At 30.7% G+C, this 15,589-nt stretch overlaps 2 protein-coding genes across 2 annotated transcripts; both read left to right on the top strand.

Annotated features, from left to right (window-relative positions):
• Window positions 1-5,826: 5,826 nt before the first annotated feature.
• DEFB113 (defensin beta 113) lies at window positions 5,827-6,775 on the top strand. Its single transcript, NM_001037729.1, has 2 exons — window positions 5,827-5,884; window positions 6,585-6,775. The coding sequence occupies exons 1-2, from the start codon at window positions 5,827-5,829 to the stop codon at window positions 6,773-6,775; spliced, it is 249 nt and encodes an 82-aa protein (NP_001032818.1).
• A 4,512-nt stretch (window positions 6,776-11,287) lies between these two features.
• On the top strand, window positions 11,288-15,203 carry DEFB114 (defensin beta 114). The gene is made up of 2 exons (NM_001037499.2): window positions 11,288-11,401; window positions 15,006-15,203. Exons 1-2 carry the CDS (start codon window positions 11,347-11,349, stop codon window positions 15,158-15,160), a joined length of 210 nt encoding a protein of 69 aa, NP_001032588.1. The 5' UTR covers window positions 11,288-11,346; the 3' UTR covers window positions 15,161-15,203.
• Window positions 15,204-15,589: the final 386 nt, after the last annotated feature.

Below are 15,589 nucleotides of genomic sequence, written 5' to 3'. Positions count from 1 at the left end.
AATGGCATGATCTTGGCTCACCGCAACCTCTCTCGGCCTCCAAAAATGTTGGGATTACAGTTGTGAGCCAACACACCTGGCCGCCTCTAAGTTTCAATCACACCACTGCACAATGATGACAGCAAAACTAGTACCTGAATCATAAGGTTGCTGTTATGTCTAAGACAATAGTTGTAAAATGTTAAAGCAGTAACCAATATTTAGCTAATGCTAATTAAATATTCATTATTCCCTATTGGGAATCTAGCAAGAACCAAGCCTTGTGCTAAATAAAAAACACAAAAAGAGAAAAGATGGTTATAAAGATTATCCTGTGGCTACAGTTTATATGCTCTTTTTGGATATTGATCTTATCATTCCCCCTTATACAAACCATATTTAAAGTAGTAAATTACAATTACTTTTTTAAACTTTGGGAAGCTGAGCATAAGTTCCCCCTCATTATCTTCTATACACCCCCAAAAAGAGAAAGGAATAGATAATACCACATTATGAATTAGTCTCTGATCCCTTAGGATTGGAAACTGAATTAAATATTCTGAAATTCAATTTCTCTAAAGGGTCACTTTCTTTGTTAAAAAACTTTTGTTTTAAGTTCATGGGTACAAGTGCACGTTTACCCCTTCTGAAGGAAAGGAAAGATTGCAGTTGAGTGAGATTTAAATAACACGGATTACATGAGTAAATTAGTCTTCATCTGGGTAAAATTTGAATTGACACACAAAAGTAGATCATATGCAAAACATATTAAATAAATATCTAATTACTATTGTGAATCTATGAGCTATAACTTTAAAGCTCAGAAGTAGGAAGAAGAGGCAAATAATAATAATAATAATAATTGTTATTATAATGTGCACCAGAATAATCAACATTCTATTTTTTAAATTTAAATTTAAATCTATAATGGTATTAATTTCCTTAGTTTGATATTACTTACTGAGTACATAATACCAGAATGTAATCATATTGTAACAGTTACAGAATGCCATCTTTCCTGAGCTACCAACTTCAGTGATAGCCTAACCAATGCAGACATTAGGAAGAGGTAATAAGTAATAACATATGATTTACATTTTTATTAGAAAGCATTGTTTAAATTTCTACTAAGCAGTGGTTACTGGAGACAACTTCAAATAAGTATTTTTGAAATCACTGTATAAATAGTTAAAACTACAATGGGCTTTGCCTACTTTGTTATAGTTTTCTTTTATATTATCTTTCTCACCATATATTAATCTGTACACTTAAAGCTTCATGTCTTTGTCCTTCCTTCCCCTTTCTTACCACCCACCCTTCACACTGCAAATTTAAAGCCCTGAGCTTCAGGATATTTTTAAAATCATAGGAGACAGACATCTTCTTTCACACTGGAATAGATAATTACTGGAATGACATAACCGAAACATAGCCATAGTACTAAGGTTTTATTATTGTTATTATTATTATTATTATTAGGCAGCCAAATTTGATTCCGCAATAACAGTGTTGTATGACTGTGGGAAAATAACTCACGATCAATGTTTCCATGTGTAACTTCTTTTAAAAAATGATTCATGTTTAATAACATAAAACAAAAAATGCATTTGATAAGCTGTAAAATTTATCACCAAAGTCAGGATGAAACACATAAGCTCACAGAAGCTGAAGGATATTTTTTCACCAGATCATACGTTACAGTGCTTATTGTTAAAGCTGATGTAAAATTCAAGGTTTATATTATTGCCTTCGATGACCATTTATGGCTTAGTATAGAGAAAGAGCAACCAGTCAGGCTAGAGTTTCAGATGAGAAATTGTTTTTTACTTGTCGTAAGTGAAAATACAGAACGTGCAATAGTTCTTTCCATTACTTGGAGTGTCAGGGAAGACTCAACCCAGATTAGAAAAGGTATCTGTTGGGATAAACAGGAAGCTGAGGAGCTACTATTCTCCAAGGTTGTTCTAGATTCTCTTAAAAATGGAAACTCCCACCAGTGGTTTCTCTTCAAACTTTCTACTTTCAGTAGTGTCCCTCAGCTGTAAAAATAAAAGGTGAGGCAATAGAATACGACTTAGCCATGAAAACGAATAAAATTTTGTTATTTGCATCAACAAGGATGGAACTAGAGGACATTATGTTAAGTGGAATAAGCCACAGAAAGATAAATATTGCACATCCTCACTCATATGTGAGAACTTAAAAAAAGTTAAACCAGATGCTGGAAAGGACAGTAAGGAGGTGGGGAATAAAGGAATGACTAATAAGTACAAAAATACGGTTAGATAGAAGGAATAACAGCTAGTGTTTGGTAGCACAATAGAGTTACTATAGTTAACAATAATTTACCATATATTTCAAAATAACGAAAAGAGTAGAATTGGAACGTTACTGACACACAAAAAAAGATCAGTGGTTGAGGCGATGGATACCCCAATTACCCTGATTTGATCATCACACATGGTATGCTTGTACGAAGGTAGCACATGTACATCATCAATATGTACAACTGTTATGTATTCATAATTGAAAATTAAAAATAAATGAATAGAGGACAAATAAATTATAATATTCCTTTTGTCTTAGAAACCACATATTTCCATTTTATATAACTTTCCTTGGAACTCTAAGACAACTATCCCAAGTGATTTAGGGTATGTAGTAATAATGGTTAAGCATGTGGGCTCTGAAAATGTAATGTGTTTAATTCCAGTTTCACCACTTACCAGCCAGCAGATTGACTTTGGGTAAATAACTTAAATATCTTTGTGTCAGTTTCTTTGTATGTGAAAATGGGCTAAACATTATACCTATGTCTTAGGGCTTTCTTGAGTTTAAACATATTAGCACATGTAAATTATATAAACTAGTGCCTGCAGGCAATAAGCATTTAATAGTTGTTATAAGGTACAGCAGAATCAGGCATGACAGAAGCTTAGTCTTTCAGACTCATGGATTCTAAATATATGAACTCTCCGCACTGGAGCTTATGTAAGAGCTTTTGGGTTGGAAATAAGTAAAAGTTGTGGCAGAAAATCCAGCTACTAGCATCCGCCTATGCCATCTTGTGTTTTCTTGGTAATTCTTATTAGCTTCATCTGTAAAATAAATGTTGTATGATTCTTTCAGATTTGAAAATTTCTCAAATTGCCAATCAATGTCACTGTTATATAGAATTAGTCACGTAACGGATTTTTTTACTTTAAAGTTTTGTGGCCATCCGTTCATTGAAACATACTGTGTTTTGTGTTTGGGAGTGGGGAGGAGTTGCAATAATCCAGTGACTGGTAGTGAAGAGCAAAGAATGGGAACGACGTTATGGTTTTTCTCTGCAAAGAAACCATATGTTGTTTTAGGCTGTTATTCCTAAAATGTGGAAGCTGAGACCCAGTGACTGACTGACAAACCAATACTTTATTGGTATTGACTTAAAGAAAGTATCAAAATTTTGATTAGCAACTCTTGTAAGAGAATAGCATTGCATTTGGTATATTCTTCTGATCATCTCTCTTCTCAGCATCATACCCTTTACTTGTATTCCCAACATCCACCTCTTGGCCTAGAAAAGTCTCCCTCATAGGCATTTCTCAGCTGAACATCATAAAGCCTAACCACCCTCTTTTACAAAGAACTTACCTCTCCAGAAATCCTTCCCTGTAGCTCTAAACTATACAATTACCACCTGTGATTATCTAACATTGTAAGAAGAAAGATAAAACTTTTTTTAAAAAATCTCAAACTCCTAAATTCTGATTCAATTAAGTAGAAATATGAAGGCTCATCCACCTTACTATTTAATTCACACATTTCAGGTCAATTCTCTATTCTTAAAAATTTTCTCTGTACCTCCTCTTTTTTCCCTTAATCACAACACCAATCTCATTCTCACCCAACTTTCTTCATTTTTGTCTCTTTCTCCCTTAAAAAATCACAATCCCTTAATCACAACCCCAATCTCATTCTCACTCAACTTTCTCTATTTTTGTCTCTTTCTCCCTAAAAAACAAAAAGAAACAAATAAAATGATTTTGTAAATAGAAATATACAATCTGGATTTCTCCCCAATTATACCATAAGATGCACATTGTAAGCAATAAATAACTCAATTAACTTGCTTTCTATGCATCTTGTTTGATTCTACTTATGTATTTTCCTGGGAGAAGTGAGGCCCTTACCTTTGTTCAGTGTGATTCAGATATAATTTTACCCAACTTCACCTTTAAACAGATAGGGGAAAATATGCAATTTATGAGTTTAGCTGATGGGCCAGCTCAATAGAAGTGGCTTATTTTATACTGATAAATTGGATATGGTAGCACTGAAGCAAAAATGGGCCCTATTGTCCAAGGTCATTTTCTTACACATGCTGTCACTATGATACTGCCCGCTTTTTAAAATTTGCCATTGCTATCTTTCTCTGCTTACATACAATTAGTTTTATTAAATCTCCAACAGTTCAAAGGGCTCTTTTTAGCATTTTATAGGGAGAAAATATTGAGAAAATAGATTTTTCATGGTCTGGCTATAAATACATAGGTACCTTTTGAGTGAGGAATGAAGTACACAAAAGACAAGAGGACTGGACTGCTGCTTTTTAAACTCAGATTACATAATATATTTCTAATTTATTTCCCTAAATGACAGAAGGAGTTAGAATATAAATTAAATACAAATATAAATAAAAATAACGATCTCATCTAATGATAATATAATATCATTAAGTTGTAAGGATACATCTTTTTGGATTTAAAAACCCAGCTCTAGATTTATGAAAGTGGACCAAATTGTTTAAATTCATATATCAATTACTTATTTATTTTTTACATGTTTTCTACTTGATCCTTGCTATGAAAACTCCAAATATGTTTGGTCCTACCAATCTGGACTTCAAGAAGAGACTCCTAAGGCTTAGATAAATGAATATTTATTCCAAATATATAGATGGTAAACTGAGAACCAGACCCCAAGATTGGTTTTCCCTACCTAAATCTAGTGCTCTTTAGATTCTTAACACACTGCTCTCTCCTATGAATAAGATAATTTCATGACTGAGTCATCATTACATGGCATGTAAATAATGATACTGATTATCCTTATAGTGTAACTATGATAATTGCTAGTATAACAGTATTAAAACAGTGATATAGAAATACTTTCTATTTCTAGAAAAATTGAATCCCAGAAACAGTGTATGGTTCAGGCCATGTGTACAGAGAATAACCACACTTGATGCAAACCCAACATACAGTTGAGAGAATGAGGAGGGTGGAGGCTGAGAGAATGAGCTCTGTCATCATATAACCTGATAATTAATCTCTACTCCACCAATGACTACATGTATAATTTGTGAGCCATTACATATTCTGTCTGCGTCACAGTTTTCTCAATTGGAAATTAAGAAGTTCCTATGTTATAGAATTTGTCATGAGAATTAATCCTTATAAAGTTCTTAGAACAGCCCCTGGTACATAATAAATACTCAAGAAAGCATGTAGTCAAAAATGTAAATGATGTTGATTATGTGCTTTCAATTAATTAGTGACCAAGAATACTTTAACCCCATTGTTTACTTACAAAAATGAAATGAATTCATGTTTGGCTCACCGAGGTTGTAGCAGCACTAAACTCTCTACTATACTTGTTTGCTGTTTCACAATGCTTACATGAATATGCACTCAATCTGGAAAGTCAGCATTAATCAGAATTGTAGGCAGCATTAATCAGAATTGTAATCACGCCAAGAAGGCTGTAAAAACAAGAACCCATATTTCTTTTACCAAAGACTAGCACAACTCTGAGACATTTTGAGATCTGTCCCCACTTTACTCAAGTGTAACTGCATCAGCAATGAAGATACTTTGTATTTTTCTGACCTTTGTCTTCACTGTGTCTTGTGGTCCATCAGGTAATATTTGTTATTATAAAAAAGATGTGAAAGGCAAAATGTTCTTATAAATGCTTTACTCTGAAAATAATAAAAACAAATAAATTATTGTTAGGAGATTTCATATGAACTCCTTATAAGGCAATTTTCTCTATTTTTTCATGGGGGAAGAAATGAGTAGAACTGGTAGTTGAGAAAATAATTTTTAAAACTTCCTGAGATGTAGAATTAAATTTATTTATTGTGTTGTTTTGTGTGATGACACTATAATTTTTTAGATACTTCCCACTGCCTTCTGTTTCAAAATCAATTTTACCAACTGCTATTGTAGCTACCATCAAAATTAAGCTTTTTACAGCCAACCTAATGATTGCTAGGGGTAGAGAGAAAAGGGGTTGGAGGTGGATGATTATTTAGAACACAGAACATGTAGGCTATTTCTTCCATGTCTTTTTCTCTTTACTCTTGAGGAAGCACACACAAATTAGATATTTAAAAATGTTCTATTTATTAAATGATAATTTAAAAAGCTGGTGACAAAAGCAATATTGTTAGATAAATAAGTATATTATACCAGCTGAGAGAGGGAAAAATTTCAATAGAGTTGCTTGGGCATGATTTCAGAAACAAAATGGTTTAACTCTACATTTTAAAGAGTTTATTCATCTCTGTATCTAAGGATATTAAATCTGGACTTATGGTCATAGCTACTTTTTCCTAGTTCCACAGAAAAAAACAAGAGAAGTTGCAGAGAGAAAAAGAGAATGTCAGCTTGTTCGTGGTGCTTGCAAGCCGGAATGCAACAGCTGGGAATATGTATATTATTACTGCAATGTTAACCCCTGCTGTGCGGTATGGGAATACCAAAAGCCAATCATTAACAAAATCACTAGTAAACTCCATCAAAAATAAATTATAATTATAAAACACTGTATAACAATTTTACTAATAAAAATGAATTTTTGCTATCTATCAATCTATATTTAAGTTGTTGATCTCTGGCCTTCTGGATTACACAATTATACCATGGCTAGTGAATTCAATGTTGGCTTAGTACAAGAGAAATAAAGAAAAAAAGAGTGGTAGCATCTTCTTCATTAAATTGGCAGAAGTTTATCTCCAGCCATGAGACAGAGGACTTTTGATTCTTGTTCTCTTCATCTCTGACCTATTTATTTGCCTGGTACAGAAACATTTATTTTCATATGATCTTTCATATAGTAAACATAAATTATGGTTTATGTGCCTTCTCTTAGTTTCCATATAAATGTGTTTGTTTCTTGGACACAAAGTTATATAGATGCTAATCACATAATAACAGAAGACTGATAAAAACAATTTTAAGAAAGAGCTAATCAAACTGAAAAGGGAGTAAAATGGAATATATTAACACCTTACCCATGTAAAAATACATCAAAAGAGAAAAACAGCAGGAGGAAAAACACTAAACCCTAAGAGTAGTTATGTTGGAGAGATGAGTTCATGGCTGATTTATTTACTTCGTTATAATATTATATTGTTCTACATATATACTTATAATTTTGTGATCAGGATAAAAGCAAATTAAAAACATCTTAACAGCTTTTTAAATTTTAAAATAATATGAAAATTTAGAACAATATAGAAATGTTCAAAGATAAAAAAGAAAAGTCACTTCTAATTCTAACATCCAAAGCTGACTATTATAATCAATCTTAAACATAGGCTGCCAATCCAAGGGTCTTCTCTCTTGGTCCTCAAGAATTTTATTTAACTTCTTTCATCTTATACTTCAATACTTAATGCTTCTGTTTTTGTCCTTGTCTTCAATGAATTCATTGGGTTTCCAAGTTTCCACATTCCACATTAATTTCTATTATACTATTAAAATAACTTTAACATAAATATTCTTATTAATTATAAAGCATCAGTAAAACTTGGCATTCAGGATTTAAAGTATCCACCAAATGTATTTCTTACTTAAACCTATAACAACAATTTGGACAGTATAAAAATTTAGGGCAGAGTTCTGACTTAGAAGAAATCAAGGAGTTTCAGTGAATTTTAGGTTTAAGAGAAATGGATTACTTGCAGTTTTCTTATTTGAAACATTTACCTAACTATGTGATCACTCATTAAAAAATATAGTCAGAGGAGCAAACTTGGAAAGGAGCACTTATAACATATTAGGTTTACACTTTTCTGCTATATTCATGTGTGAAGCTCAAGAAAGAAAAAATGTGCTTCCAATATAGATTTGTCGAGCCATTAACCAAAGCAATGAGATAAAATCACCCAATGAAAGGCTACAGACCAAGGTGGAAAAGTATGAAATCCCAAGGAATAGGATTTAAATAATTCTATGTGAAGAACTGGAACCCACAAAGGAGGATAAGAAGGAGTTAGCCAATGTGAAATCACTCCTAGGCTATGTCTCTCAGGTGAGTTTTCAGACATAAAGAAAATAGGCAACCTCATACCCCATTATATTCTATGTTAATTTTTTGTCACGCACAATTCATGAGCATAATAAAATGTTGTGTTTTTCTTCTACTTTAAGCCAACAAGTTTTAGAGTAGTTTATTGCACAAGAATATAAATCAGAACAGAGCTTAACTTTCAGACCACAGAAATTTTTGTTAAGTAGCAATAAGCAAAAAATTATGGGTAGGACTTCTGGAAAAATGGAGTAAAAAATTCAGAAAATCTGCTTCTCCATAAAAGGAAGAAAAAGATCGTCATAAAATTGTCTAAATCCACTTTATAAAGAGCTCTGCAAATTAACTAGACTTGCAAAAAAATCCAAGGAGCCTTTCTTTATTCAAGAAAAATTACTGAATCTCCACAATTCTTCCCTCATGAGGTTTTTAGCTTTGTTTAAATGCAATCACAATCTAATTGAATAATTAAAATCTTGTGGAGAGAGCTAAGATTTCTGGTATAGAAACTTCTGCCTCTGGAAAAATAGCAAGGTTTCTTCTTCAAGATATAGGGAGTCATATGGCATTCTACTTGTAGTAAGGAAGCCCATTCAGCCCGCATTCACAGACTTTACCATGAGAATTCCATTGCAGAGAGGAAAAGATATGCATGACAACGGAGGAAATCCTACAATGTATTCAGTTCTTCATCCAGCATATAAGTAAAATCAGCAGCATGAATATCTAAGATCACAATGACAAACAGAATGCTAGATTCTGAGAAAACAGATCAAGAAAAAGAATATAATGTAACACAAAACAAACAAACAAAATCTCTCTAAAATGTATTTACAGAGGTATTCAAGAAGCCTTTACATCTATAATACAGGACTATAATTCTATGACATAAGAATAATCAAAGAACAGAAAATGGCACTTATATTCCTTTTTTAGCAAACGACAAAATTTTGCTTAAAAAATTGCAAAAGCTAAATATAAAAGTAAAAGATTTATTTAAAATCAAAAAATAACAAAAAGACATAAAAGTAGGAGAGAAAATTATAGAGAAATGGCTAAATGTTTGACTTAAAAACATCCCCAAAAGAGAGAAAATAAACAAACAAATAAGGAGGGAAGAACTTATCTGAGGAAAAAAAATATAGAAAGAGGAAGAAAATTTCCCAGATCCCAGGAAAGATATAAGCTCACCAATACCAGAAAGATAACTTATTCATAAGAAATTTACACCAAGAAATGTGTGAATCATAAAGTTTGGGAGACTGAATCAGAAAACCAATGTCCTAATGACATCAAGAGAGAAAAAATTAAAACATTTAAAAGGAGCTATCCAGGCATTAGAGTTTTCATCAGGAAGACTGGATGCCGGATGTTAGTAGAGTAACAGCTTCAAAGTTGTGAAGGAACATGATTTTGAACCTAGATTTAACATCCAAATAACTAAATGTGAGGGCAGAATAAAAATATTTTTTAGAAACAAAATTCTAATTTAAAAAAATCTTTTCTGAAAACAATTCTGGAGGGAGAAAAACAAGAACAACAACAAAAAAAGACACAAGATCCAGATCACGGTAAATTAAACTCAGGAGGGCAGGTTTAGAAAAATCTTAGAATGAAGCAATCTCAGGACTCACCTATGCTACTCAGATAAACTTGACGATAGAGAATGCCTATTATTTATATTTTGTCCACATATACAAAGAAAACTGCAGGAAGAAATACTCTTCAATAATGACATAACCAAATATAAAACAAAATAAAAACACAAAAAAACACTTAAGAAAAAAGAAAGCAGAAAGAAGAAAAGAAAGATATAAAATAAATTATTGGTAATAATGTTAATAATAATGTCAATTTGACTTTGAAACCAAGAGCATTTCTCTTTGATTAACCCAAGTGTTGTGATATTGGGCACATAGAAAAAGGCAATATAATTGATAATACTTATTGTACTACAGTCTAAAAATAAAGTGTATGTTTTAATTCTAATTATACATAGAGTACACATATTATCTTACACAAGATGAAAGGAAATGTGTAACAAATGAATGAGGTGTAAAAAGTGGGGAGAATTGCTGGAGTAACTAGCAAGAGGGCTAATATTTTCATTTTAAGTGAGGAAGGCTTAATATTGCAACTACAGTTGATAGGAAAAATATAAGTGTTTTATTGAAGATTATAACATTTTTAAAAAATTAACATAACTTCAAAATATTTGATAAAGATAGCCTAGAAAAGAGTGTAAGTAATCTAAATTTGTAATTTTCTTAGTAGAAACCAAGAGATGTACTCTGTTTGGTAAGCCAAGATAAGATATAAACTACATCCTTGTTCTTATGTTAGTAATCACTAGAGGGCCTAGTGGGTAGGAAATTATTGCTATTCATTACAGTCTCTTCTCATTATTTATTGTGTCCATGTAATTAAATATTTAAATGTTAAAAAAAGTGGAGAATTATTGAGCTTTACTAGGAAAACAAGAGTTTTGTGAATATTTAAGTTCCATCTCAAAAATGTAACAGAAATTAGTGATAAAAGTGAGGCTTAATATTTGGGTCTTGTAAATGAATAATTTGGGGGAAATTAATGGGATAACATGATATAATTAAAATTTTTTGATATGCAGGCATATTGATGAATTGACACACCAGATTAGTGATTACAGTAAATTTTGAAAAGTAATCAGCAGATTAATGGACAATGTTCAGCTGTTTTATTTCTGAAGTAGTAAATAAGTATTTACCTTAAATTTATTCCATGGATGCCCCTTTGCATTGATCATTAATTAATTAGCAATGATAGGAAGATGCCATGTTTACAGCTATCATTCACAGAGGGATTCCTTCCAAAAGCTCTATTATTTTCAAGTGTTTTCAATTTGGGTAATTCTGCCCACAGCCATAGTCATTGGAGCAGAGATAGGCACACAAAATTAAAACAATTTCCAGATAACGAGAGTTTCTCTTCCATGAGAAAACTATAAATAGTAAACGTCTTTTGGGTTTTGGAAAGTTCTATAGTCTCTATATTCTGTTATCAAGTCTTTCAACAACTTCTTTCTACAGAATGAGGATCTTTTACTATCTCCATTTTCTGTGTTATGTGACCTTCATTCTACCAGGTAAGATAGATGTCTCTGTTATATTTGTGTAAAACTTCTCACTAGAAATAGAAATAATAAATTATTAATTGTAGAATGCAAATTTTTAATGCAATCTTATCAATTAAATAAGTGTCTTTATTATACTGAATCTTGGTTTCCTCATTGATAATATCATTATACTGGTGTACTGTACCCACCTCATTCTCCAAATATGTAGATAAAATGAGATAATGAAGACAACATCTTTCAATTTTTTTGGACTGAGTTTTCTTCTAGATATTTAAATTGTTCAGAAAACTATAATATATTAAATTTATTTATAAGTCTCAGAAGTGAAAGCTTGAAAGTAATTAGACCCTAGAGAAACTGAATGAACTGAGAACAGCAGTGTATATTTCTTGGAATATCAATAACAGAATCTATAAGATGATCAAATGGATATTAGAAAATATTTTGAACTGAATAGTAATAAAAATGAGATAAATCAAAGTTCATAGTAGGGTTTACAAGGAAATTAATATAGTTATATCCATATATCTAAAAAGAATTAAAACTAAAAATGTAACTAAAATTTTAACTGATGAAGTTAAAAAAGAAAATCAAATTAAAATGACAGTTACAAACATGTAATAAGACTTAATTAGATGTAAGTAGAAAACAGACACTAGAGAAAATAAAGAAGGCCACATTTTGTTTTTTGAAAAGACTAACAAAATTAATAAAGCTTTGACAAAACTGTAAAGAAAAAGTGAAGGCAAAACTAAACTTTATCAGAGATATTAGTATATATGCTACAGATATCAAAAAGATCATGGGAGAATATTGTGAACAAGAAACTTTTTGCATCTGTATTAATGAGTAATTTTCTTTCTTGTAATGTCCTGATCAGTTTTAGTACCAGGTATTGTTGATCTCATAAAATAAGTTAGAAACATCCTTTTATTTTCTATTATCTGGAAAAGTTTGTGTATAATTGGTGTTATTTCTTCTTTAAATGTTTAGAATTCAACAGTGAACCTATCTGGGCTGGGTATTTTCCCTATAGAAGCTTAATTATTATGGATTCTATTCCCTTAATGAATTTGGAAACATTTAGATTTTCTATTTCTTTTTGTTGTTGTTCAGATTCATTATGATGTAATTTTTTCAGAAATTATCTAATACATATAAATTTTTGAATAAATCAATGGAGAATAGAGAACCCAGAAACAGATAAAGATGGCACTACAGAACAACGTAATAAATAAGCTTTTCAATAAATAGGGCTGGTTCCATTGCATAGCCATATGAAGAAAAAATGAAGCTTGACTATTGCCTCTTACCACATCCAAAATCTCATTCCAAATAACCTGAGATGCAAGCATGGAAAAAGGCAAAACAATAAAGCATGCAAGTTAATGTAAAAGAATTTACTAACAATTTTAACATACAAGTAGTAGTATTTCTTAATCAGTAGAAAAAATAGTATTGACTACATTAAAATTTGGAAACTTTTGTCAGTCAAAAAACACCAACTAAAAAAAGCAAGCTCTATATGGAGAAAAATATGTTCAATACATTTAGCATATAAAAGGAACACAACTAGAATATATAAAGAACATACATAAAACAGTATAAAAAAGACAGACTGTCCAATAGAAAACCAAAGATGGATCACTTTCTAAATGATAGATATTTATTAGGTCAGTAAACATAAGAAAATATGTTACCCTTTTTCAGTAATCAGAAAAATTGGCATTTTATTATGAAATATAAAATGGGTTAAGATATATGAGGTGTCTACATTCACATCATAATTACTAAATTGAAAATATCAAGCATTTCTTAGATTTTAGATGTCTGAAACTATTATTCAATGCTTCTGGAAGTTTAAGTTAGCACCAATTATTTGAACATCTGTTTGGCATTATCTATTAATGTTGAAGCTATGTAGACACCTTACCATTGTATTTCACCCTTAGGGATATGCCCAACAAAAATGCCTGAGCATGTGCCCCAAGAGTCAAGTACAAAAGTATTCAAAAATGGGAAACAACCTGAATATTCATCAGCAGATAAGGCTAAAATGTCGTATATGTATGTAACAGTCCACTATATGATAATGAACATGGAAGAATTATAGTTATACAAAACAAGAACAAATCTCAAAATACAATATTGTGAGTGAATAAAATCAGATGTAAAAATATATGTGCTGTACTGTTGCATTCACATAAAGCTTTAAAATGAGCAGGCTTAAACAAAATATAAATCAAGACAATTTTTTTTTAACTGAAAGAGTGAAAGGAATAGTAACTGTAAGGGGGCACAAGTGTGCCGGAAATGTTCTATTTCTTGACTTGGGTAGTGTTTACATAGGTCCTTAATGTTTAATAACACTCTTAGCTGAGCATTTATTTTTGGGTACTCTTCTGCAAGTTTGTTTTATTTTCTTTTTAAAGTTCATACATAAAGAAATAAAATACAATAAAGCATCTGCTGTTTCTATTACACACTTTTGTAATCTAAGCTGTTTCTGTTTCAAAAATCCATAGCTATATTCATAAAATGCAATTGATAGCTGAAAGAGATCTAGAGTTTGTGAGTTTAGCATATAACAACATTAAGCATACAGTGAAAATCATTTAAAGAGGTGAAGAAATTATTTTAATAAATAGTGTGGAATAATTATTTAATCATTTAAAAGAAATGAAGTTAGCTACATATCTGACAAGTACAGTTGATATAAAGAGAAAAATACTATAATAAATAAAATACTATGATGAAAAAATCTATGCAAGAATTTCTTATTTTGAAGTTAGAATAATACATTAAAATAGATTATTTTTGTACATTTCTGCATATAAAAATACAAAATTGTTTACATTTTTTAAATTGAATATTTATGTATCTTGTAATGAAAATGTAATTGTTTAAAATCCATAACTAACAATATAAAAAACAACAACTAAGGAAGACCAATTGGTGACATATATGACAGACAAAAGTTACTATCCACAATATATTTTTAAAATTCTTATGAACTTATTAATTTTAAAAAATTCCAGTTATATAATCAACAAAGCATGTAAAAAATTTTATAAAAAGAAGGAAAAGTATTCAACATAAATAAAGACATAACAATTAAAATTGCAATGGGGCAAAAATTGCATAAATTTTTGTGGCAGTACCAAAACTCTAAAATTAAACTTTTTTACAACTATCATAAGGATATATCATATAAGTATTAAATTATGTAAACCACATTATCATAATCCTAAAATATTAAAAACTTTAGATATGATATGATTGTCTGAAAACAGCTGAAAGATTATGCACATTGTCGTGTAGCTCTACAAATATCTTGAATTTTTTTTTGAGAATAATATGTGTCATGAAGTTTTTAATCATATATTAATTTTAAAACAAGTTTTAATTTTATATATACATGGGGTATAAGATAGTTATATATATTTGGGGTATAAGATAGTTATATATACATGGGGTATAAGATATACATGGATTTATTTTTTTTTGGTATTTTCTAAACTTGATACAATGTACACATCATACTCTATGAAATCAGAAGTAATATATGCTTAAATAAAAGATTAGAATTTCTGTTACTCTTCTTTTACCGTAGCCACATGTACCTTGGTGAATGCTGATCGTTGCACCAAACGTTACGGTCGTTGTAAAAGAGACTGTCTTGAGAGTGAAAAGCAAATAGACATATGTTCCTTACCAAGAAAAATTTGCTGCACTGAGAAATTGTATGAAGAAGATGATATGTTTTGAAAAGAAAGGCATACCTCTGAACAAAGAAGTTACATGTGCACCAGTGCAGAGAGGTGTGGGAATATAATTAGGACTTCTGAAATAAATAATTAAATATATAAGCCAATATTGCTATCTTCCTTTGTGAGTGTTAATTTCATATACAATGGAATGAGATAGAAATTCTCTTATTTTTCCCAACTAACAGTTTTGATATAAGCATATCTGGAGCTATGTTTGCCCTACTTTAGGTCTAGTTTTAATCTGTCTTGGGCCACCTAAACTTATACAATTGAATGTTTCCCAATTTAGCCATGATCTCATTAGAAACTTGATTCATGAAAATCAATATTTATGGACTTATCAGTTGTCTAAATATCACCATCAGATTATTGGAGTCAAGACACAAAAAGCCTAAGCAAGAGCTAAAAGTATAAGTTCAGGAGAATA

The sequence above is a fragment of the Homo sapiens genome, chromosome 6 (genome assembly GCF_000001405.40).
Source record: "Homo sapiens chromosome 6, GRCh38.p14 Primary Assembly".
In the NCBI taxonomy this organism is placed as follows: domain Eukaryota; kingdom Metazoa; phylum Chordata; class Mammalia; order Primates; family Hominidae; genus Homo; species Homo sapiens.
This window is presented reverse-complemented; position numbering and strand designations above follow the sequence as displayed.